Raw genomic sequence first — 25,545 nt, forward strand, 5'->3', positions numbered from 1 at the left:
TGACCAATATGGTGAAACCCCATCTCTACTAAAAATACAAAGTAGCCAGGCGTGGTGGCACATGCCTGTAATCCCAGCTACCTGGGAGGCTGAGGCAGGAGAATTGCTTGAACCCAGGAGGCAGAGGTTGCAGTGAGCTGAGATTGCACCACTGCACTCCAGCCTGGGCAACAAGAGTGAAACTCCATCTCAAAAACAAAAACAAAAACAAAAAACAGATCTGTGAATAAAGAGGAGTCCAAGAAGGTGCAGAGGGAACTATGAGGAGGTGGAGCTCTAGAATATATTGAGAAAAGAGAATTTCAAAGAAGCCAACAATGTCAAATCCTCCAACAGGACTGTAACATAAGTCTGTAAAGTGTCCAACTTTTAGCAATTAGTGACCTTACCAAGGGCAATTTCTATGGAATGAGATGAGCCATATTGTAGAGGTTCGAAGAGTGGATAGTGGTCAACACGGATACATCGTTTCCTCCCCTCACGGCATCTGTCTCTCCCACTAGACTTTTCCTTTAAAGGCAGTGACTTATGAATATTATTCCACTGTTTTCAATCAATTCCATCCACCAGTGAGATATATTGCATCAGGTTACCTTTCATTCCACCGCATTTGTGCCTTGCACTTAGTAGGCGATCGATAAAATAACTGATGATAAAGGGGCTTCTGCAGACTCCCCAATTCATTTGGTAAAGACCGCTCAGCATCATGGTCGGGCCCTGATTGCTTTCACAACCGCTTCGAGGAGTGTCATTCCCATCACGGCCACAAGGTGGAGCCCACCTCCCTGCTCTGGGACCTCAGGTCGCGACCCCGGAAGCACATCCTTCATCCTCTACCTTCCTTCTAGCAGAAATGGCGGCTGCGGCGGCTCGAGTGGTGTTGTCATCCGCGGCGCGGCGGCGGCTCTGGGGTTTCAGCGAGAGTCTTCTAATCCGAGGCGCTGCGGGACGGGTGAGCTTCCCTCCAGGCCGGTCCTGTCCTCGAGATCTCGCCAGACCCGGCGCAGCGCACCTGAGAGTCGGCGCCACAGATCCGAACAGTGGGTCGGGCAGGGCCTCCTCGACCCGGACCCGCCGGGCGCCAGGCGGCCTGGGGCTGCTGAACTGGCCGGGGGTGACTGGCTTGTGGCCACCCGCCAGGAGACCTGCTAGTGACGTGTGGGATGACCCTGGTTTTCGGCTCCTCCCGCCAGCTACTGAGGAGTGCATGTTTGACCACTAAAAACGTAGTGCTTGCAAATTGGGGAAAACTAAAAAGTGAAATGGGTACCGCTCCAGAGTTCTATTTTTGCCTAAGACTGAACTTCGTCCTCAGCTGGGCTTCCCGCGAACCTGGACATCAATGAAGTAAAATTTTTTATGTATTTGCATTTTTCTCATGAGAGAGCCTCTGACTTTAAGCAAAGGGATGTGAGACTTTTGTATAAGGGCAAAGAAAAACTGCTGAAAGGCGAATAGTTTCTGGCCGAAAAGCCAGTCATTTGCATTTTGAACATCGACCCATCTTCCTATCCTCTCTCTCTTTTTTTTTTTAACCATTTCCAAACCCTGTTGCTTTTCTTGAACAATGAAAACCCGAGTGTCAGTTTTGTCTTGTGTGTAGGTAGTTTTACATAGTTTCCCTCTCTTTTTTTTTTTCCTGCTTGTTTTCTCCATAATGAATATAAAACATTTCTAGGAGAGGTAGTGAAATAAAGTCAATTTCTCTCTGGGTAATGATAATAATTGCTCATCTTCCCTGAGGGAAGGGCATGTTTATAAACACGTTGCTGGCTTTAGGACAGTGGCTGGTGACAGATGTTTCTAGGCCAGGCAGAGATCTCAGTGGAACCAAAATTCAAGAAGAAAGATTCTTTTATAGAGACAGCCTATTTAAAATAGATTTGGTTTTAAAAGCAACATTTAATATCAGATTAGTAATGTGTTTTGCTTTGTCTCTTCCACTTCCTACCCCCAACCAGTCATTATATTTTGGAGAGAACAGATTAAGAAGTACACAGGCTGCTACCCAAGTTGTTCTGAATGTTCCTGAAACAAGAGTAACATGTTTAGAAAGTGGACTCAGAGTAGCTTCGGAAGACTCTGGGCTCTCAACATGCACAGTAAGTGACTCAGGCAACCTTCTCTAAGTGACCCTTCATTTAGCGTAGCAAATTGTTGATTTTAATCTTTAGCTTTTTCGTTGGCTGGTGGTTCAAAAAGGGTGACAGTTATTTTGCCTTGACAGATTTCCATGAGTTGTGAACCTTTTCTTCCAGTGGTACTTAGTTACAGGGTGCATATGTATCCTGTTGCATTGTCTGCATCTTGTTCTTGTAGCTTATTATTGATTATTTATTTTCAGTAGTATTGATAATAATGAAAGAAATATGTTTGCAGGGCTACTCTGCCAAGTGTTTTTACTGATGTCTTATTTGATAAAAAGCAATTGTTTGTAGTGGGCATCCTCACACCTGTTTTATAGTTAAGGAAGTGAGAGAAGTTAAATGGTTTTGTTCAGGTAACTCAGCTAATACATGACAGAGCCAGGATTTCAACCGAAGTTTTCTGACAGTCTCTGATGTTCTTGATACTACAGTTATTAATTGGCTGGATTAATGAGTTGGGCAAAGAATCCTCATTGAAGGTGGCAGGTAGATACTTGTAGCACCCAGCAGTATCCTGATCGAAATTTTTAAATCTCATAGTTCACAGGAATGAACTATCAATTCACTCAGGTCAAGAAAATCTTAGTGTTAAGACCAGAAAGCATTTGTCAGAAAAAGGAAGGAGACTGTTCCCCCCAACCTCAAATAAATAAAATGAATTTATTTAATTGTTCTTTGATTGCATTAAGGTTGGACTCTGGATTGATGCTGGAAGTAGATACGAAAATGAGAAGAACAATGGAACAGCACACTTTCTGGAGCATATGGCTTTCAAGGCAAGTTGTAAGACTTTACAAAAATGCACTCTCTTTAAGAGATAATAAGCACAAAGTCTCATTCTTTAGAGGCAGGGAGAGCTCTTTCAGTAGTATAACATGTTTTATGTTTATTTTTCCAGGACAGTATCTAAAATAAGTAGTGATAATTGCTTTGTAAAGCTGAAATGAAAACTTTCTCTTGGGATGCAGGAGTTATCTGAACGTATACCATTTCTGAAGCCTGATGTACCTTATTTTTTTTTATTTAATTTTTTTTGAGATAGGATCTGGCTCTGTTGCCTAGGCTGGAGTGCGGTGACGCAATCTGCTTACTGCAACCTCCGCCTCCTAGGCTCAAGCCATCCTCCCACATTTACTTCTGGAGTAGCTGGGAGTATCTATATATATATATATGTTTGTTTGTTTTTTCATAGAGATAGGGTTTTGCCATGTTGGCCTCGATCTCTTGGGCTCAATCTGCCTGCCTCAGCTTCTCAAAGTGCTGGGGTTACAGGTGTGAGCCATCGTACCATACCTGATGTACTTTAGAAACCAAATTTGACCCTGCATGAAACTAACTTATGTCCTCCATATTCATTATCTGAAGTAGAATAGATGAAGTATAAAGGGAGTTTGCATAATTTGTTTTTCCTCTTTTATTTCAAGGGCACCAAGAAGAGATCCCAGTTAGATCTGGAACTTGAGATTGAAAATATGGGTGCTCATCTCAATGCCTATACCTCCAGAGAGCAGACTGTATACTATGCCAAAGCATTCTCTAAAGACTTGCCAAGAGGTACTGTTATTATTTATACAGCAGATAATGTAATTTTCATGAGAATCAGGAATTATTTAGTACTATTTTTATTATGTCTGTTGTAAAAGAGTAAGTTCCAGAAATGTGAAAAAGCGAAACTGAATTCTGGGTGAGGGTACAGCTGATCTTATTTTTTTTCTAAATATGACAAATAGTAAATTATGGATGATGGTTTTTCTTAATATGTAGCAATAAAATAGAGATTATTTGGTGGGAATAAAATATTTTGTCAGGACAGCAGTTTGTTAGTTACCATGTTTGTAGACTGTTTTGACTCTCTTAAAAGTTATTACACAAAACATTTCCCAGTGGAAGAATTAACAACAAAATTTAGCAGTTTTAGAGCTAATTGGTAAACTCATTATTTTTGTTTAGAGAGATAGTCTCGCTCTGTCACCTAGGCTGGAGTGCAGTGGTGTGATCTCGGCTCGCTGCAACCTCTGCCTCCTGGGTTCAAGTGATTCTCCTGCCTCAGCCTCCTGAGTAGCTGGGATTATAGGCTCCTGCCACCATAGCTGGCTAGTTTTTATATTTTTAGTAGAGATGGGTTCTACCATGTTGGCCAGGCTGGACTTAAACTCCTGACCTCAAGTGACCCACCTGCCTCGGCCTCCCAAAGTGCTGGGATTATAGGCGTGAGCCACTGTGCACGGCCATTAGTGAAATTTTTAACCTTTAAGGTCCTTCTGTAGTTGTAGTTACTACTTTGCAATTTTGGATTCCTAATAGACTTTCATTAATAATGTTTAAATGGCACTTAACACAAGTACTTTTGTGTATATATTATCCATTTGATGTGCATAGGTGTTTCCACCTTGCAGTTGTGGAAATTGAAGCTCAGACTCTGACTTGCCCAGGATTGCATAGCTATCAGGTGGCTTACTGTGGACTCAAGTGCGTGTCTTCTTACCAGATTCATTTGCTTTGTCAAAACAATAAAATAAGAAACCTATCACTTGTAAATAACTAAAATACTTAATATGATACCCTAACTTTTGCATTAAAACAAAAATGACAGCAACGATGGAGGGTATGTTGGTTTGAATAACAAAACCAATAGAGACAGTTTTTGTCCCAGGACTAATTAGGGACCAAGAACATATGGCTAGGCCAAGGTTCTTTAAAGAGTTGTTCATTCCAGCCTAGTTCCTTCCTTTATTTACACAGAACAACAGGGAAGGCAAAAAGGAGAAACAGAAAAAGGAAGGATGAAATTAAACGACTTTTTTCCCCCTTTTCTCCTGGCATCTAGCTGGGAACGACAGAGCTTCTGCTAGTGGGAGTGGAAAAACAGGGGCTTTCCCTGAGGAATGCAAAATGGAAGTGCTCTCTGAAGCAGCTCCAACTTTGGGGATTTACTTGGGGTTTTTCACCCTTCACCCTGGGTGTGAAGCCTGGTATATGAAGTAATAATTAGATGTTTAGACTAATGGTCTCCAGGTTTTTATGATCACTTATTCTTTTTTTTTAATTTTTATTTTTTATTATTATACTTTAAGTTCTAGGGTACATGTGTACAACGTGCAGGTTTGTTACATATGTATTCATGTGCCGTGTTGGTGTGCTGCACCCGTTAACTCGTCATTTACATTAGGTATATCTCCTAACGCTATCCCTCCCTGCTCCCACCACCCCACGACAGGCTCCGGTGTGTGATGTTCCCACCTCGTGTCCAAGTGTTCTCATTGTTCAATTCCCACCTATAAGTGAGAACATGCGGTGTTTGGTTTTTTGTCCTTGTGATAGTTTGCTCAGAATGATGGTTTCCAGCTTCATCCATGTCCCTACAAAGGACATGAACTCATCCTTTTTTATGGATGCATAGTATTCCATGGTGTATATGTGCCACATTTTCTTAATCCAGTCTATCATTGATGGACATTTGGGTTGGTTCCAAGTCTTTGCTATTGTGAATAGTGCTGCAGTAAACATACGTGTGCATGATGATCACTTACTCTTATTGGTAAGAAAGTTGATCATATATCCTTAATGTATGTATACTTGTAAGTTAAATACATGTGCTACTATACTAACATATATTAAATACACATTTAAAAAAAAGATTCAGATTAAAACAGACTGGGAAATAGGAGCCCCCCTCCCTGCCTTTGGAAACTACCAGGGTAGACCACCAATCCCACATAAAGGAGGATTTTCACACAGGAATTCTTGTCCTTCCATTTGTCTATGGGCTCTTTCTCACCCATTTTACTGGACTCTGTTCTCTTATCTGGACAGATGGGTTTTATTTGGTTTTACAGATAATTTTTTCCTTTTGGTCATGATCTCAGCCACAGCTTACTATAATAGTTTGTTCTGTCATGTTCTTAGTATTTGAACATAATCAGTTCTGAGACAGTGCCCCTTAAAGTGAACTTAATTAAAACAAGCAACAACAGTTTGTAGTAGAGTAAAAAATGAAACCTAAACCAGACACGGTAGTACATGCCTTTAGTCTTGGCTACTTGGAGGAAGCTGAGGCAGGAGGATTGTTTGAGCCCAGGAATTTTGAGTCCAGTCTGGGCAGCATAATGAGACCTTGTCTCTTAGGGGAAAAAAAAGAAACTTAAGATTGTAAGTTTATTTTATAACATTAATCGTATTAATGAAATTTAGATTTATGATTGCAACTATGTACTAATTCTTCAAGAATGAAGCACAGTTTTTTTTTTGGAGAGGTATGCGCTTTTTCTGATAAAATTGCTTAATGGCCTAATATAACATGTTCCACTTCACTTTTGGCTTTTTGCAAATTAGGGTTTGAGAACACACAATTCTGTGATTCATTTGGGGCATATTTTAGATTGTAAGGATTCTTTTCTCTGTTGCCCAGGCGAGAGTGCAGTGGTGCAATCGCAGCTCACTGCAATCTTTGCCTCCCGAGCTCCACCCATCCTCCCATCTCAGCCTCCCGAGTAGCAGGGACTACGGGCACATGCCACCACACGAAGCTAATTTTTGTATTTTTTGTAGAGACAGGATTTTGGCATGTTCCCCAGGTTGGTCTGGAACTCCTGGGCTGAAGCCCATATTAGCCTCCCAAAGTGCTGGGATTATATAGGTGTGAGCCACGGTGCCTGACCAGTTCTTTGCTTCTTAACATAGCACTGTCATTGCTGTGGGAACTTGCATAGTAAATACTTGGGTGATACAAACCCTCTGTACATTGCTAGCTAGGTATTTTCAGACTAATATATATAACTTTGTAATTTTCATATAGAACAATCTATATTAATATGCAAATTTCCATAGCATTTTTTAAGTAGGTAGAGTCATTACAAGGTGATGGCAAATTTATACTTTTTCCCCAAGGAAAAAATCTTTTGTACTATAGGGGTTTATATGTTAAATTTTAATTTTGTCCTGTTAAGTATATCTGATGTTTTTCTCCTAGGCTAATCATTTAGTATTGAGTGATGGGTCAGTGTCATGATTTCTGATTTTGGTTTAATAGATTTTAATAGTGAAAGTTAAGATTGCTGGCACGTTTTCTTATATTTTATTTTCAATTAGCTGTAGAAATTCTTGCTGATATAATACAAAACAGCACATTGGGAGAAGCAGAGATTGAACGTGAGCGTGGAGTAATCCTTAGAGAGATGCAGGAAGTTGAAACCAATTTACAAGAAGTTGTTTTTGATTATCTTCATGCCACAGCTTATCAAAATACTGCACTTGGACGGACAATTTTGGGACCAACTGAAAATATCAAGTAGGTATAACAGAATTTCTTGGTGTATAAGGGAATTTATGAATGTTGAAAATAAACATTTACAAATTTTCAAAAAGTATGTTTCAGAAAGTAATTTTCCCCCTGGTAATCTAAGTGAAACTGTAGTTAGCTACATTTTAGTCCCACCTAGCTCCCAAGCACGTGAGTTCATAGGTACTTCGGGAATAAACCAGTAATGGTGTATTTTTTCTTTGATGTAAAAAAGGTGAAGTTCTTTGATGTGTTGCCTGTATCCTATTTCTGACTGCATTTTAGGATACAGTTATGGTCCAATTTGATTTCAGGTATATTATGTGAAGATCTGTTTTTTTTTTGGTTTCCTTTAAAAATTGTTTTACTTCATTTACAGATCTATAAGTCGTAAGGACTTAGTGGATTATATAACCACACATTATAAGGGGCCAAGAATAGTGCTTGCTGCTGCTGGAGGTTAGTCAATTTAAATTTCTACAAATGTTTTAAACACAGTTGTTGGAGTGGTATGCTTATTAGTTTGATCCTGTTGGGAGATACCCTAAGAATTTTCATTTACATAGCAAATAACTGATAGTGTGTAAGGGGAATGTGGAGCACTGGAATCAGAATTTCCCTCTATTTTTTTTAAAGTAGGTTTCATTTAGGCCAGGCATGGTGACTCACACCTGTAATCCCAGCACTTTGGGAGGCCGAGGTGGGCGGATCACGAGGTCAGGAGTTCAAGACCAGCCTGACTAATATGGTGAAACCCCATGTCTACTAAAAATACAAAGTAGCTGGGCGTGGTGACATGCGCCTGTAGTCCCAGCTACTCGGGAGGCTGAGGTAGGAGAATTGCTTGAACCCAGGAGGCGGAGGTTACAGTGAGCCAAGATTGCACCACTGCACTCCAGCGTGGGCGACAGAGTGAGACTGTCTCAAAAAAAAAAAAGAAAAGTAGGTTTTATTTATAGAAAGACTTAATGAACTGTTCAATACATAAGCGTACATAGTAGAACGTGCAAGAAAAGGGCAAAGGAGTGAACTGGGAGAGAGTCGGAAGATGGTGTTCTGTACTTTGAGAATTTTTTGAGATTTTAAATTATTTCTTGAGAACCAACTTCGTCCTTGTTCAAGCATGGAACGGGTATGTTCATTCTTTGATTTGTTCAATCATTCATTTAATAGATCTAATTTTTGGGAAGGAGAAGCACATAGGGAGCCATAAGAATGTTGAATGGGAATCCAAACATGCAGGTGACTTCAGAAGGTTTCCTTGAGGTCATGTTTGAAGCCAGTGAATGAAAAAAAAAATTGACAACAGATATTGCCAGATTTCCTGGCAGTCTGAATCTAGACAGCAGTACATTTTAATTGGTTTCCAGTTTTTTATTTTTTTCTTTTTAAAATACATTTATAGAAATAGAGATGGATTCTTAACTATGTTGCCCAGGCTGGTTTCAATCTCCTGAGCTCAAGTTATCCTTCCACCTTGACCTCCCAAAACTTGGGGATTACAGGCGTGACCCACCGCACCTGGTCTCCAGTTTTCATTTCTTTGTATTTTTTAATATTAGAGCAAAGCGAAGTGTTCTTTCGTGTTGTAAATTTTTCTCTTTTTAGAGATCATAATTTAAAAATTCTAGTTGCTCTGGATTGATTTCTGAGCTAAGTACCTGGCGGGTAATGGAGAAGATGAAAACATTAAATATCAAACATGTTATTCATTGTAGCTACCTTCATTGTACATGGCAGGAAGTGCACTCTGAAATTCTCTTGAGTAACATTGTTTCTAAATTGGCTCTTGCAGACTTGGGCTTAAGTGTTTGAAACTGCCTTGGAAATGGGACAAGAGACTTGTTAGATGGGTCCTCAACAACCAAGCTTTCTGGGACCTCTCTGCCATTGTTGGTGGCATGTGGACAAAATGAGTTTTACTTTGGTTCATGGGTTCATTTTGACATAGCTAAAATTGAGATATCTTTAGTTTAATGGCTTATAGATTAATTAGTATTCATTTTAAATACTACATAAGTGATGTGCCTTATAAATGATTGCATCTTAAATTCAATGAAATAGGCCAGTTTTAAGTTTCTGCTGACCTCTGAATTATGTCTTGGCTACCATTTATCTCTTCTAGGCTAATCATCAGGATGTATAGCTTTTATTTGCCAAATAGTTTTTTGTATCCTAGCTTCATTTATTATAAAATTATAATTTAACATTTTAATTGTAAATTAAGTTAAAGAATCTTAATTTGGGTCTCAAGTAAGGGATATAGAGTCTAAGTAATTCCTGAGTTTTTGCATTTGGATACCTATTGATGTATTCAGAAATTTAGATGACACTATTTTGTTCCTGAGTTCTTTTTTTTTTTTTTTTTGAGATGGAGTTTTGCTCTTATTGCCCAGGCTGGAGTACAATGGCATCATCTTGGCTCACCGCAAACTCCGCCTTCCGGATTCAACTGATTGTCTTGCCTTAGCCTCCCGAGTAGCTGGGATTACAGGCATTTGCCATCACACCTGACTAATTTTGTATTTTTAGTAGGGATGGGGTTTCTCCATGTTGATCAGGCTGGTCTACCTCTACCTCTGACCTCAGGTGATCCGCCTGCCTCAGCCTCCGAAAGTGTTGGGATTACAGGCGTGAGCCACCACACCAGGCCCTGTTCCTGAGTTCTGATAGCAGAGCATGGAGAATAAAGTTTATCTGTGTATCCAGCTTTCTTTTATTTATTTAATTTTATTTATTTTAGAGACAGAGTCTTGCTCTGTCACCCAAGTTGGAGTGCAGTGGTGTGATCTCAGCTCACTGCAAACTCCACCTCCTAGATTCAAGCAGTTCTCCTGCCTCAGCCTCCTGAATAGCTGGGATTATTACAGGCGCCTGCTACCATGCCCAGCTAATTTTTGTATTTTTAGTAGAGACAGGGTTTTACCATATTGGCCAGGCTGGTCTTGAACTCCTGATCTCAAGTGACCTGCCCACCTTGACTTCCCAAAGTGCCGGGATTACAGGTGTGAGCCATGGCACCCGGCTTTTAAAATTTATTTTATTGAGACAGAGTCTTGCTATGTTGTCCAGGCTGGTCTTGAACTCCTGAACTCAAATGATCCTCCCACCTCAGCCTCCTAAAGAACTGGGATTATAGGCGTGAGCCACCATGCCCAGCTCCAGCTTTTTAAAAATTAGATAGAGCCCATATTTGTATTTTCCACTAAAAAATTTTTTTTTTGAAAATTGGCATTTTTTGCTAGTTTGGATCCCAGAGGTTTTTATAATTTAATAGAAAATGATTTTGTAAAACGTGGAGTTTTCAAGTTGTCTTATTCTTAGCTGTGAATCCATTGGTCTGTTGATGAAAACTGTCATTTGCTCTACAAAATGAGAAAGCTGTGCAACCTCAAGCTTTGCAACACCAAGGAAATAGGTGTGCTATGTGAGCTTACTCTTAAATAATGGCTTTTAGTGAGTGTAGATAGTTCATGTGTAATGTACATCACATTATACCACCTAGGGTTTATTGTAAACTATATTGCTGCTAGATACATGTGAAAATATTTTCTTTCAATTTAGGTGTTTCCCATGATGAATTGCTTGACTTAGCAAAGTTTCATTTCGGTGACTCTTTATGCACACACAAAGGAGAAATACCAGCTCTGCCTCCCTGCAAATTCACAGGAAGTGAGGTAGGGCAAGCCTTCCAGCTAGTATTTAGCCTTTTGGATTCCTTGTGTTGTATTTACACATAAGTAAACAAAATGTGCATATTTCCAGTAGGAAAAGAATGGAATAATAGGAAAAGGGAAGAGGATGTACTCATTTGCTTACATTCCTTCCTCTTCCGTATTCTTTAACCACCTATTTTTCTTCCTAAGGAAGCAAGGTTTTTTTTGTTTTGTTTTTAAATTTCTCCATTCTAGTCTGAAAGGAAGCAAAGTTTTTAAGAGCAGTTTATAATTTGGTCTTTTTGTGCTTTTTCTTTGGCACTATGCCAATTTACATATTGTAATATCTGGAAGTAATCTTTTAAACCCCGTATTTTGACTTTCACTTCAGGTTTACTCTTGGCTCAGTTTTGCCCACAGTATGTTTTGGGAGGGGGTAGTAACTGTTAGAGCCAGAACTTGCAGGGGATCTACTAGTTATCAACTAGCTTTAAGCCCCACTAGCTGCTTAGTTTGCCATGTTGAGGATGATGCTCAAAGTAGTATCTGGAAAATGCCCTGATATTGGCAGCTGCCTAGAACTGTAGCATTGGCAGTACAAAAATAAACCTGTAACGTCAATATGACATTTCAATAGAAAAGTTCAGATTGAGGCCGGGTGCGGTGGCTTACGCCTGTAATCCCAGCACTTGGAGAGGCTGAGGCGAGTGTGTCACTTGAGGTTAGGAGTTTGAGACCAGCCTCACCAACATGGTGAAACTCCGTCTCTACTAAAAATACAAAAATTAGCTGGGCGTGGTGGTGCATGCCTGTAGTCCCAGCTACTCGGGAGGCTGAGGCAAAATTGCTTGAACATGGGAGGCCGAGGTTGCGGTGAGCCGAGATGGTGCCACTGCACTCCAGGCTGGGCGACAGAGTGAGACTCTGTCTCAAAAAAAAAGAAAGAAAAAGACAAATTCAGATTGACAAACACAAAGGATTGATTTCTACCAGTGAAATGATGCAACCCTTTTGACCAGGTAAACCATGTGGTGCCTGTCTGTAGTAAAATGCTTTGGGAAAAGTAATTTTTCCCTAATTTAGTCTTAATTCTTCTAGATTAAACTCAACAATGTAATGAGGCCTGATAGTTAAAAAATCAAAATAGAGTCCTGGTGTGCATTTTAACTTTGCAGTTAATGGGACTGGTGATTTTTTCCTTGTTAATAAGCATGTTATATAATGTTAATCTTAACTAGAGGTCCTCCTGCTTTATCTTAACTAGATTCGTGTGAGGGATGACAAGATGCCTTTGGCGCACCTTGCAATAGCTGTTGAAGCTGTTGGTTGGGCACATCCAGATACAATCTGTCTCATGGTTGCAAACACGCTGATTGGCAACTGGGATCGCTCTTTTGGGGGAGGAATGGTAAGTGATTTTAAAAGAAATTTTCCATAACAGATGGAAGATTATCATGTTTTCTTAAATATAAGTTCTTTGTAAGAATCCTTTTTTAAAGTGGCAGAATAGAGTCTTGTACTGTGAATTCTGACTTAAAAATATAAACTGATCCTGGATTGCATGTGGGCCAGAAAAAGTTTCTTTTTTTCTTTGCCACAAAGTTTATTAGTGGCAAAATTTGAATAAGGACAGAATTAGCTAGAAGTACTATGTCAATGTTAATATCCTAATTTTAATAGTCAGTAGGCCCTCTATATCTGTGGGTTCCATATCCGTGGATTCAACCAACCATAGGTGGAAAATTTTGGGGAACAAATGGATGGTTGCATCTGTACTAAACATGTATGGACTTTTTTTTTGGTCACTTCCTAAACAATATAGTATAACAACTATTTACATAGCATTTACATGGATTGGGTATTTATCTAGAGATGATTTAAAGTATACAGGAGAATGTGCTTATATGCAAATATTACATATACCATATTACATGAGGGCTCTAGCATCTGTGGATTTTGGTATCCACAGGGATCTGGGAACCAATTCTCCACAGATACTGAGGAACTATACCAAGGTGATGTAAGAACATTAATTTCCTTGTTTTTCACAAGTACATACTAAAGTATTTGGGGCAAGAAGCATCACATCTAAAACTCAGTTGAAAAAACTTGTATAAAGAGAATAAAGCAAACATGGTAAAATAACAGGGAATCTAGATAAATGAAATTCTCTGTACTGTTTTTGCAACTTTTTTGTAAGTTGGAATTATTTCAAAACACATTGTATAGATTTGTCTTTACTCATAGATTTCTCCAAAATACATTTCATCTAAATAATCTTAAGCTTCATATGCAATATAACTTTGAATCTTTAAGCGTATGTAGCCAAGAGTCCTAGAAATTGGGTTGATAATAGCCATCTAGTTTTAGAAGTAGGTATAGCTACTACATTAATTATAAGGACTCATTGCTTTTATAACATGAATTTCTCCAGGGGGTGCACTGGGTAAGTGAGATAATAAACACAATTCTTAGTCATACTGAATTTTAACTCTACTACTGAGATGTTGAATAAAACTAGGAAACAGCCTCTAAGGATATTCACTATTTTCCACACACTCCATTTTTCTTTCTGTATTTTGGACATGTATAATTAAAATTCTCTTGGAATTTTTTTTTCCTTGCAGAATTTATCTAGCAAGCTGGCCCAGCTCACTTGTCATGGCAATCTTTGCCATAGCTTTCAGTCTTTCAACACTTCCTACACAGATACAGGATTATGGGGACTGTATATGGTTTGTGAATCATCCACTGTTGCAGACATGCTACATGTTGTTCAAAAAGAATGGTGAGAAAAATAGCTTTAAGTAATTTAAATTTTGCCTTTAATTCGTTTTAAACTAGTTTTTTATTTATACTTTATGGTGATTTATGGTAATTTTACCTTTTAATTAAGAGACCTAGATAAACAGTAGTTGCCATGTTTTCAAAGGTTGCAGTTGGTTTTTCCTAAGTCTCAAGATGTGAAGCTGATTTATACTATAGAATTTTTTTTTTTTTTTTTTTTTGAGATGAGGTCTTGCTCTGTTGCCCAGGCTGGAGTGTAGTTGTGCCATCTCGGCTCACTGCAGCCTCCGCCTCCCAGGTTCAAGCCATTCTCCCACCTCAGCCTCCCGAATAGCTGGGATTACAGGCGCACCACCATGCCCACGATGCCTGGCTAATTTTTTGTATTTTTTAGTAGAGATGGGGTTTCACCATGTTGACCAGGCTAGTCCTGAACTCCTGACCTCAGGAGATCCACCCTTCTCAGCCTCCCAAAGTGCTGGGATTACAGGCGTGAGCCACCACACCTGGCTGAAAGTTTTAATCTTTCAGAAGCAGGTTAATTCAGAAAGATGATCCTAAAAGTTTAAAAGCCAACTAGAAGTTGTTTGGAAAATATCTCTGAAAGTAATCTGGTTGAAGGGAAAGTAAATCTGAAGTTGCCACTGCTAAAAGAAAACAAAGTATATTGAGTCGATAGATGGGCAGAAAGGCTCGCAGCTTCTTGGAAAACATTTAGCTCTGGTTCCTTTCCTCCACTATTCTTAATTGGTTTACATCTTTCTAAATCTAGTCAACTAGGATGTAATTATTGTTAAAAATTAGATTTAAGTTAGACTCTACTCATTGTTTTCAGAAACCAATGAATGACCCACTGACTTAACCCATAGCATATCAGACTCCAACAGATGAGGACTCATGAAGTCTCAAGATGCTTATAGCATTTCTGAAAATGTGATCAGCCCATTTGTATAAAGCCTTTGTCTGCTAATGTGTAATTAGGCATGTTTATGTATCATTTTTGAGAAATTAATACTGGGGAAAATAATCATTTTAGCTTTTGCTTAGCATTGGAATTAAATTGTAATCACCTGTATGTTTTGTGTAGAAGATGGCATCATCATTCTTAGGTCATTAACTCATGAAATACAACATTTTCCAACTACTACTGTTTTTCCACGTTTTTTAGGATGCGACTCTGTACAAGTGTCACAGAAAGTGAGGTTGCACGAGCCAGAAATCTTCTGAAAACAAACATGTTGTTGCAGCTTGATGGTAAAAATAAAGATATAGGTTCTGTTTTCATATGGTTGATCTGTATTCCAATAGTTAATTTTTCCTTCTCTTTAAACAGGTTCAACTCCAATTTGTGAAGATATTGGTAGGCAAATGTTATGCTATAATAGAAGGATTCCCATCCCTGAGCTTGAAGCAAGAATTGATGTAAGTAGTCCTGAGTTACTATTGGGTCATGTGTAAAAAGATCCTTGTTACAAAAGCTGAGAATATGTATCTTTCATCTTGCTTTAGTTTTAAAAAGTTCCAGGTATAGACTTTGTTTTTACTACAAACAGCTGAATGACAGTGTCTTCCATATTTCAGGCTGTGAATGCTGAGACAATTCGAGAAGTATGTACCAAATACATTTATAATAGGAGTCCAGCTATTGCTGCTGTTGGTAAGCCTGGCTTCTTTTCTTCTATGCAAAAAGTTGGCCAAGTACTTTTAATTAACTCTTCTTTTTAATCCTTAGGTCCCATTAAGCAACTACCAGATTTTAAACAGATACGCAGTAACATGTGTTGGCTTCGTGATTAAAATGCTCCTAATCAAGATTGTTTGAACACATGTATTTATAAAACAGAGCTAGAGAAAAATAAAAATGAACATGTATATACATTTGGAAATTTGAATTAAATACTGTATCATACTTTCAAAGGATAAAAAGACTACCCCTCTGAAGGTTGTTTTGTATTAATGGTCAGTCTTTGTTCTCTGAGAAATTATGTTGGAAGCAGCATACTTTCAAATTATTACCATGAGTATAATTTTAAGAATGAAAATGTTTACAGTATTTTCAGTTTTATTATAAAAATGCACACACAACAAAGATTGTCATTTCTTGGCTCTACTTGCATTCAGCACTTGTTCTTGAGCAGCTTTCTTTGCTTTTACCATCTCGACAAGTTCCTAGGAAGGGAGAAAGGTGTGATTTAAGAAGTTGCGATTTAAAAACAGACATTTTAATCTAGTGTTTGGTGTAAAGAATTCAAGCAACTAAGATAGATAGTACTAAATATACTGATTTCATTATCTGCCAGGGCCTAGAAAGTTTCTAAGGTTGCTCATTTCTTCCTCATAATATTGACCCCATAACTACTGGTTTTGAAATAAGCACTATATTATTAACCACTTAATAGACATAAAATATGAGCTATATCACCCAAGCTACAATTTAAAATACAACAATCTATAAACGCTTAAGTCTGCAACCTTGTATCGTTTCATGCAGTCCTTCTTTGTCCTGCCAGGCACCGCTTCTGCTATTTTTTCCCATCTTTCAGGTGTATTTACTGGGTATGTTTTCAAAGCTTGTTCCAAAAGCTTCTGTTCTTCTGTTGTCCAAGGGGTGAAGTCTGTATATGGACCTGATTAAGAAAAATTTTTATTTGAAAACTGTCTTTGAACATGTTCTCAGACAAGTCTTGTGGTCCACAAGTATTCGCTAAGTGCCCATTTCAATCTGGGATGTGTCATTTTGAAAATAAACTTGTAGAGATGAGAGATACATATAGCCCTCTGAGTGTTAATAAGAGAAAAAATTTCAGATAGCTCACATCCCAGAAAATAAAATCTCAAAGGCTTTTAAAACACAATAGTAAAGATCTACCTTGTACTGTTTATCTCTTAAAAATCAATGTAATACACTCACCAGACTGGTAAAAAGCCATATTTAAATTTATAGTACTGTTGGACTCTTGGACTCAAAAACACAACCACAATTCATTAAGAGTTCTGATAAATCTACTTCCTTACAGAATAGGTAAAAGAGCTTCCTCACAGTTAAACTTTTGCTGGATAGAAACCCTGGAAATCATTCTTGTTTTACACTGAAGGAAACAAACCTAGCAAAATTAAGCCAAGTGCCCAAGGTACCAGTGCTGGAGAGGCAAGCTGAGATTAGATTGTGTTGTAGTGTGGTGTTCTCTTCGTCACATCTGCTAAAATCTTGGGAGCCGATGCTGAACACTTCCAATAACTGCTATTGTGGTTCTTCAACTAAACCTTGTATATTTCAGAAAACATCTAAGATGTGTGTCAGAAACAAATATGTTTCTTAAGGATGTTAAGTATTACACAGTCCACTTGTGTAGGTAAAAGTAGAATGTTAAGTGGTAGAAAGCTGATTTGGTTAAGTTAATGGACTTCTGGCAATTTAGTTATTTCAGACTATGCAGTGACAACACAGACTAATACTACCAGTAGCCTGACTACTACTAGAAACTGCGGCCTGTGAGATCTGTTAAAAGTTAAGCCTAGAAACCAAAGTTCCTTCCCAATTAAAGAAGGAAAAACAAAACAAAACAAAACAAAACCACCACCTATTCAAAACAAAGCAGAGAATTTGTATAATATTTGATGGTACCTAAGGTGCCTAAGAAGCTTTTTTGAAGGTAGCTTTTAAGTTCTAGGAAGTCTTTTGTTGAATTTCCTTGTATTGGTTTAAAGCCCTAAATACCATAGATTTTATTTCCTCTCTTGGAAAAAAGATGGAAGTGACATGGCAGTATTTCCTGCTGTTCTCCAGTTACTTCACAATACCAAAATAAATTAAACGTACTGTTGCAAAACTCCTATGAGAAATCACTATTCAAAAAATGGTGCCAGCTTGCTGTTTAATGGTACAACTGAAGAGGAAGGAGCCTTCCCATTTCCATAAAAGAGGCAAAGGAGTCATACCCACATAGCACTACTGCCAGTCACTCTTGCCTTCACAGGGTCACCTCTCCTCACAGAAAGCAGACTGGACAAATATCAGGGCCCACCTCCCTCCAACATGGAAACAAGTCCCCCTAAGAAAGAGCTGAGACTAGTGTGCTAATACCTGTTGTATTTTGTGGAGATAAAGGTGCAGGAGAATAAACTCCTTTATAAAGAAGTGTCTTTCAGGTGTTCTGAAACCCTGCCTTGTTACTTACCTTTATTAAAAGAACCGAAATAATGCCTAACTCAGCCAAACAAGTCACTGCTGATTTTTGCAATGATTTTCCTCCCCTATATTAACACTGTAAGTCTCATATCTTTAAGTTGAAATTTTGGGATAATAAGCAAGATTAAAGAATATAGGTAAAACTGGGACTCTTAGAAGAAAGAAACAGCTTATGTATAGTCAAGTCTATTAATCCAAAAGCATCTTTCTGCGATTAGTTTAAGAAAGGATTGGTGGCTCACAAAACATGAAGTGAAAGAACTTTTTCCACATAAACTGCTTTCAAACCTTGTCATAGCAAGAAAAAAATTTATATCACATCCTAAACAAAGACACACGTGATCAAGAGTTTCACAAGTATACCCACCCATATAATGGGTGTAACACTCATTTTCTATTCAACACACTAAATTGACTTCATGACCCAGTGATGGGTCATGATTTGTAACATGAAAAGCATTGGTCTAGAGTAATCACAACACCCAAGATAATATCAAACCCTAACATTTTTTTTTTTTTTGAGTCTTACTATGTTTCCTGGTTTTGAACCCTAACAATTTTTAACATTTTATTTTGAAATAATTTTAGAGGAGTAGAAAGAATCCCTGTATACTCTGCCTACATTCCCCAAATGTGAACATTTTCATATTTGCTAATTATTTTTACCTATATGTACAGACATACTTTGAACCATAAGTTACAGACATGATGCCTCTTTATTCCTTAACACTTCTGTGTTTTTCCTTAAACATAAGGACATTTTCTTATATAATTACAGTACATTTCTCAAAATCAAGCAATTATCCCGATATAACACTATTCTTTAGTCCCAATAATATCCTCTAACACTGTTTTGTAAAACCTGGTAAGCAAAACAAACAGCCCCCTTCTCTAATGGCATCTGAAATGGAACAACTGCAATTCTCCATTTTTAATGGTTAGGTGAAGTAAATCTTTGCCCTGGAAATGTTTGCTTACAGCTTCCAGTCTGCTAAACATTTTATTTCCCTATCATTCTGAACATAGACCCTAAGTCTTGTACGTCCAAGCAGCACAGATACATGGCTAGCATTTTCTACGTTTAGAAAAGCAAAATTTACCTTCAAATCGTTCTGAAGGCGTTGCGTTGTCTGCTTGAGGTACCACTCCATGTTCTTTTTTGAACTTATCAAATGCCTTTTTATTTATGTCATCTTTTTGATGAGGGTCTGAGAAATGAAAAAAATTTAATACTTAACAGATCATCATTTAATCTTTCATTAAATTGCATAAGTTATTTTAAAAATAGGTGTTTAAAGTAACAAATGGACTTCTCAAAACTCACCAAGTTTTTGGAGACTCTTTGCTTTGCCAATAACATCTTTGGCAGTTCTTTTGACTCCAGAGGAAGAATGTATGTTCATGTAATTAGCAATAACTTCCCATCTGATAGGATATATTATACAATAATATGAATAGTAGTAAGGAAAAACAAAATGAAACGACAAAAACCATTAGATTTTTACTGCAGAAAGGTTATAGTATGTACAGAATGAGCTCAGATTGGTGGTCTAATTATGCTGCTACTATAAATTCCTGTTGCCTGGACTACGGTTTTTGCTTTTCATGTGTTTAAATCAACGATAATCTTGGTTTTAAGTCCATACATCTTACAGATTTGGTGTACAAATCAACATAAATAAAACCACTTATTTGTGTATACTGCCAGTTTAATACATTTCTTCAGAAGATCAATCATTCTGAAAACAGCCTCGGTTTCATCTATAGAATTAGGGACGCTGGATCTCTAGGGCTTTCTTGCAGTTAAACTCAAGCTCCAGCTTGAGGTGGGAAAAAACAAAGAGCAAGACTGTAAAAGAAAAACTACAGAAAACCTAATCCCTAGAACAAGCCATGACAGAGTAAGCCAACATAAATCAAGACTTGTCTCATGATCTTCAATTTCCTGAGAAACAAGTATTCTGTCATATGTATATGTGCATGTGTACTGATGCAATGGGTAAGACTGACAGCTTCAAAATGCACCTCACTTTTCACACTTTTCTGCTGTGGCACAGAATTTATCTCTGCAAGTTTCTGTGATAACAAGTGCTGCTATTTGGAGTCTGTCTACATTATCTCCAGGCTCCAGTGTGAGTTGAAGAAAAGTTTCATTAAAACCAGTACCTTGAATTTGTTCCAGCAGGGAACAGATTCACAGCTTTAATTAGTAATTGTAGATCATCTTCTGACCAATTTTTACTTCCATTTCCACCTCCACCAGTTGATTTCTCTGTGTTCTTAGATGCTTGTCGCATACGAGCCTCAGCTTCCTCTTTCTCTTTTCTGATTTGCTCATTTATTTCTTCTATCTGCACAAATATCATAAGTCAGGGACTTAGAAGTATACTGTATTGCTATTCTACACTCTCTTCCTGGCTAGGGCTTTGTGGTCCTCAACTCTCAATGTCATTCTCACTCTGACCCCATACTCCTCTCAGGCCAACCCAAAAAGAAGCACCAGCTTTTCACTCTGGCTTCCAGTCTGCATAGGTCTGCCTGAGGGACCAAGAACTGCCCACAGCCTGCCTGATTTTCCCAGTACTCATGTCATGTGACTTCCATTAGCCTTGGACACTAATTGACAAGTCTGTGGGTCACTGAGTTATTCATCCACAAGGCCATTTCAAACCTCTCTTCAAACTCATATTCACCCTTTCTGCAGACAATCTCATTTATTCTCTACCAAAAGGTGAAGGCATAGCAAAATGGCCTCTTTTATTTTGAAGCTCTACCATTTACATTGTTCCTTCTAGACTACCTTCAAACATGCACAAGTAAAAAAAGAACCTTTATTTGCCCTTGTTGCTTCTGTCAGCTGCTATCTTAAGAGTCAGCTTTGGCTCATTTCTCCCCTTCAATCCCTTAGAACCAGTAAAGTCCCAATAATGCTAACCTTGAAAAATTTTTTTGATTCCCATCATCACATTCATAGTGCAGGTTCTTTTTCTTTCTTTCTTACTTTTGAGGCAGAGTCTCACTCTGTCGCCCAGGCTGGAGTGCAGTGGTGTGATTTCTGCTTACTGCAACCTCCGCCTCCTAGGTTGAAGTGATTCTCCTGCCTCAGCCTCCCAAGTAGCTGGGATTACAGATGCCTGCCACCATGCCCAGCTAATTTTTGTATTTTTAGCAGAGATGGGGTTTCATCATGTTGGCCAGGCTAGTCTCAAACTCCTGACCTCAGGGGATCTGTCTGCCTTGGCCTCCCAAAGTGCTCGGATTATAGGCATGAGCCACCACGCTCATAGTGCAGATTCTTAAATAAATAAGATTCTTGTAACTAGTTACATCTATCTGATGCACCTTATCCACAAACGTCAGATTAGTAGTACAATGTTGAACCTTCTGTTAATCAAAGATTTGCAGTAATGGAAACTAGTCAACAAGGTATTAAAAACCTGATCATTGGTTCTGCTTTTCCTAACTGATTTTGTTTCCCACTCCATTTCCCCATAACATTTTTTTTTTGTCTGTTTTTTTTGAGACAAAGTCTCGCTCTGTTGCCCAGGTTGGAGTGCACCGACATGATCATAGCTCACTGCAGCTGTGACCTCCCAGGCTCAGGTAATCCTCTAACCTCAGCCTCCTGAGAAGTTGGGACTACAGGTACACGACACCATGCCAGTTAATTTTTGTATTTTCGGTAGAGATTTTGTTTATGTTGCCCAGGCTGAACCATACTTTATACTTCTACTTCTATTTTATAGTTTGTGGTATTCTTCTGACCTTCATTTTAACTCTGTCCTTCCTTTCAGGCTGGTTCAAACTACACTGAGCCTTCCCTGGTCACTAAAACTTGTGGCCCTTCCTATCCTACACCTCATTTACTATGGGCTCTCCATCTTTTGGTCCTTAAGGTTCTTCTCAGGTTCTTCTCAGCATGTCCTTTGTGGTGCAACAGCATTAGGCATTTCTCCAAAAGAACCTAGGCATAGTGCTATATATAGTAGGTACTAATACTTGTTGAATTGAATTGAATTTCTGGGCCTGTTTTCTTATCTGTAAAATAAAAGGTATAGACTAGACAGAACAAAGATCTCTTTTGGTTCTAACTGTTATTACCCTATGAAAATACTCAAGGAATAATCAAAACAATTATTTTTTTCTAATATGATTTTGCAAAAGCTATGCTTGTGATAGATACCACAAATCAAACACTAAGTATGGTAAAAACCATAAACATCTAATCCAACTTAAATCAACAACAGCACCTTACTACATAAACAAAATGCAGACTGGGCATGGTGGCTCATGCCTATAATCCTTTGGGAGGCCAATGCGGACGGATCACTTGAGGTAAGGAGTTTGAGACCAGCCTGGCCAACACAGCGAAACCCTGTCTCTAGTAAAAATACAAAAATCAGCCGGGCATGGTGGCACACACCTGTAATCCCACCCGCACTCCAGCCTGGGTGACAGAGAGAGACTCCATCTCAAAAACAAAAACAAAAACAGGCTGGGCGTGGTGGTTCACACCTATAATCCCAGCACTTTGAGAAGCCTACATGGGCAGATCATGAGGTCAAGAATTCAAGACCAGCCTGACCAACATGGTGAAACCCTGTCTCTACCAAAAATACAAAAATTAGCCAGGTGTGGTGTTGTGCGCCTATAATCCCAGTTACTCAGGAGGCTGAGGCAGGAGAATCACTTGAACCCGGGAGGCGGAGGTTGTAGTGAGCCAAGATCGTGCCACTGCACTCCAGCCTGGGCAACAGAGCAAGACTCTGTCTCAAAACAAAAAACCAAAAAACCGAACACATAAAACAACAACAACAAAACAGTGGGAAACATAAAGAGAAATCAGATACTCCCTGCACTTGGTGACTTATATATTAGGTGAAGAAACAGGTCAAAGCAGAATTAAATGCTACATATAGGTAGGAGTGATGTGTTCCTCTATTACCTGTTTTTCCAAAGCAGCCTTTCCTACTTCTTTTGTGCATGATGTGAGTGTTTCATTCAAGCACTGTAAGCTAAAGAAAAAAAAAGAAGAAATGAAACTTTATCCTAAGCTCAAGTGAAGACTTCAATAGCAGTTCCATAGGTATACCTTGCCAGTTCAAGCCGATCACAAAGTTTTTCCACTTCTTCCATCATTTTAACCCGCTCTGCCTCATTATCAGAAAAATGATTCCAGGTCTAAAAGCACAAACACAAAAATAGTATCTACACTCAAAAATACATCCATCAACATAATTACAAAGCTGTAATCCCAGCTACTCGGGAGGCTGAGGCAGGAGAATCGCTTGAACCTGGAGGCGGAAATTGCAGCAAACTGAGATCACGCCACTGCACTCCAGCCTGGACAACAGAGCAAGACTCCATCTCAAAAAAACAGACAATGACAACTGAACAGGTATAATTTTATCTCAGTGTAAATGTTTTTAACTTTTTCTTTTCTTTGAGACGGAGTCTCACTGTCGCCCAGGCTGGAGTCCAGTGGCACGAAATCGGCTCACTGCAACCTCCACCTCCCGGGTTCAAGCTATTCTTCTGCCTCAGTCTCCTGAGTAGCTGGAATTACAGGCGCCTGCCACCACACCTGGCTAATTTTTTCTATATTTAGTAGAGACGGGGTTTCACCATTTTGGCCAGGCTGGTCTTGAACTCCTGACCTTGTGATCCACCCGCCTCAGCCTCCCAAAGTGCTGGTTACAGGTGTGAGCCACCGCGCCCGGCTGTTTTTAACTTTTTCTAAATTTCAGGTGTACATATTTCAGTTTTCAACCCTGATAGTTTTTTTCTAAACATAATCATCTTACCATTATCAAACCAAAAAACAAGTTAATATTCTAAAACTGTCCCAGCACTTTGGGAGGCCGAGGCAGGCGGATCGTGAGGTCAGGAGATCGAGACCATCCTGGCTAACACAGTGAAACCCCGTCTCTACTAAAAATCCAAAAAATTAGCCGGGCGTGGTCCCAGCTACTCGGGAGGCTGAGGCAGGAGCATGGCGTGAACCCAGGAGGCGGAGCTTGCAGTGAGCGGAGATTGCGCCACTGTACTCCAGCCTGGGCGACAGAGCAAGACTCTGTCACAAAATATATATATATACACATATATATATATATATATATATTCTGAAACTGTGTCTATATTCATATCTTCAGTTATCTCAGCATGTCTTTTTTTTTTTTTTTTTTTTGAGATGGAGACTCTGTCTTGTTTAGTTACATTTGCATAGTAAAGAAAAGAAATACATTTATGCTTGGCCAGGTGCAGTGGCTCATGCCTATAATCCTAGCACTTTGGGAGTCCAAGGCAGGGGGATCACTTGAGGCCAGGAGTTTGAGACCAGCCTGGCCAACATGGTGAAACCCCGTCTCTACTAAAAATACAAAAATTAGCTGGGTGTGGTGGTATGCACCTGTAATCCCAGCTACTTGGGTGGCCAAGGCATGAGAATGGCTTGAACTTGGGAGGTGAAGGTTGCAGTGAGCCGAGATGGCGCCACTGCACTCCAGCCTGAGTGACTGAGACCCTGCCTCAACAACAACAATAACAAAAACTTAATTAGAAAAAGTTTTTTTGGCTGGGCACAGGTGGCTCATGCCTGTAATCCCAACACTTTGGAAGGCTGAGATGGGTGGATCATGAGGTCAGGAGTTCAAGACCAGCCTGGCCAACACAGTGAAACTCTGTCTCAACTAAAAATACAAAAAATTAGCCAGGCGTGGTGGCAGGCACCTGTAATCCCATCTACTCAGGAGGCTGAGGCAGGAGAGTTGCTTGAACCCAGGAGGCGGGGGTTGCAGTGAGCCAAAATCGTGCCATTGCACTCCAGACCAGGTGACAGTGCGAGACTCCATCTCAAATAAATAAATAAATAAAAATAATTTTTTTTTTTCAAGAAATATTTTGGCTGGGTGCAGTGGCTCATGCCTGTAGTCCCAGCACTTTGGGAGGCCAAGGCGGGGAGATCACTTGAGGTCAGGAGTACAAGACCAGCTTTGCCAACATGGCGAAACCCTGTCTCTACTAAAAATACAAAAAATTAGCCAGGCGTGGTGGCACACGCCTGTAATCCCAGCTACTCGGGAGGCTGAGGCAGGAGAATCGCTCGAACCCGGAGGCGGAAATTGCGGTGAACTGAGATCGCGCCACTGCACTCCAGCCTGGGCGACAGAGCGAGACCCCATCTAAAAAACAAACAAACAAAAAGAAGTATTTTTGCTTAATAAGCAACTTGATTTACTTGTGCCTAGTGTTTGTTCAGTCTGATATACCTTGCATGAGTTTCGAAGTTTTTGCCTTTCCTTCTTAATGGCTTTTTTCTGGATATCTTTTTCCTTCTTTGCCAGCAATGCTTGCTGTCTGACTTCCTCCTCTTCTTTCTCCTTAGCTAACCGAGCAGCTTCTAATTCAGCTTGTCTTTGCTTTAAAAAAAGGGAGTAAAATCATTTTAATAGGTACAGTAAAATTCCTAAATGTTTTATAATTTTAAAA

General features: G+C 39.2%; 2 protein-coding genes across 12 annotated transcripts in view, besides 2 other annotated features; one reads left to right on the forward strand and one right to left on the reverse strand.

Moving 5' to 3' along the window:
* Positions 624 to 683: an enhancer, noted in NCBI's record as "active region_26440". NCBI's record gives its function as "activates an Ori minimal core promoter by ATAC-STARR-seq in GM12878 lymphoblastoid cells {active_cell/tissue: GM12878}" and the evidence as "EXISTENCE:reporter gene assay evidence [ECO:0000049][PMID:35858748]".
* Positions 784 to 1,083: an enhancer, noted in NCBI's record as "active region_26441". NCBI's record gives its function as "activates an Ori minimal core promoter by ATAC-STARR-seq in GM12878 lymphoblastoid cells {active_cell/tissue: GM12878}" and the evidence as "EXISTENCE:reporter gene assay evidence [ECO:0000049][PMID:35858748]".
* The window catches only part of PMPCB (peptidase, mitochondrial processing subunit beta), a 50,108-nt gene continuing 25,391 nt past the window's right edge, over positions 829 to 25,545 (forward strand). For 3 of the 6 annotated variants that reach the window (XM_047421050.1, XM_005250717.4, XM_006716181.5), the window contains exons 1-12: positions 829 to 952; positions 1,962 to 2,102; positions 2,837 to 2,923; positions 3,572 to 3,701; positions 7,236 to 7,434; positions 7,805 to 7,884; positions 10,990 to 11,102; positions 12,346 to 12,489; positions 13,709 to 13,869; positions 15,037 to 15,122; positions 15,202 to 15,290; positions 15,450 to 15,525. In XM_047421050.1, the coding sequence (XP_047277006.1) occupies positions 854 to 952; positions 1,962 to 2,102; positions 2,837 to 2,923; positions 3,572 to 3,701; positions 7,236 to 7,434; positions 7,805 to 7,884; positions 10,990 to 11,102; positions 12,346 to 12,489; positions 13,709 to 13,869; positions 15,037 to 15,122; positions 15,202 to 15,290; positions 15,450 to 15,525 (1,405 nt within the window). In that variant the 5' untranslated portion in view covers positions 829 to 853. Of the gene's footprint in view, positions 953 to 1,961; positions 2,103 to 2,836; positions 2,924 to 3,571; positions 3,702 to 7,235; positions 7,435 to 7,804; positions 7,885 to 10,989; positions 11,103 to 12,345; positions 12,490 to 13,708; positions 13,870 to 15,036; positions 15,123 to 15,201; positions 15,291 to 15,449; positions 18,081 to 25,545 lie in introns of those variants that run through there. The other 3 variants (NM_004279.3, NM_001438231.1, XM_047421052.1) reach the window with 3 other exon arrangements.
* Positions 15,683 to 25,545, reverse strand: part of DNAJC2 (DnaJ heat shock protein family (Hsp40) member C2) — a 32,479-nt gene continuing 22,616 nt past the window's right edge. For 5 of the 6 annotated variants that reach the window (NM_001362667.2, NM_014377.3, NM_001362668.2 and 2 more), the window contains 8 exons: positions 25,326 to 25,475; positions 23,150 to 23,238; positions 23,003 to 23,072; positions 20,224 to 20,408; positions 19,382 to 19,482; positions 19,158 to 19,265; positions 16,341 to 16,495; positions 15,683 to 16,037 (listed from right to left, as the gene is read on the reverse strand). In NM_001362667.2, coding sequence (NP_001349596.1) covers positions 15,963 to 16,037; positions 16,341 to 16,495; positions 19,158 to 19,265; positions 19,382 to 19,482; positions 20,224 to 20,408; positions 23,003 to 23,072; positions 23,150 to 23,238; positions 25,326 to 25,475 — 933 coding nt within the window. In that variant the 3' untranslated portion in view covers positions 15,683 to 15,962. The remainder of the gene's footprint in view (positions 16,038 to 16,340; positions 16,496 to 19,157; positions 19,266 to 19,381; positions 19,483 to 20,223; positions 20,409 to 23,002; positions 23,073 to 23,149; positions 23,239 to 25,325; positions 25,476 to 25,545) is intronic. The other variant, NM_001129887.3, reaches the window with a different exon arrangement.

The sequence above is a fragment of the Homo sapiens genome, chromosome 7 (genome assembly GCF_000001405.40).
Source record: "Homo sapiens chromosome 7, GRCh38.p14 Primary Assembly".
NCBI lineage: Eukaryota > Metazoa > Chordata > Mammalia > Primates > Hominidae > Homo > Homo sapiens.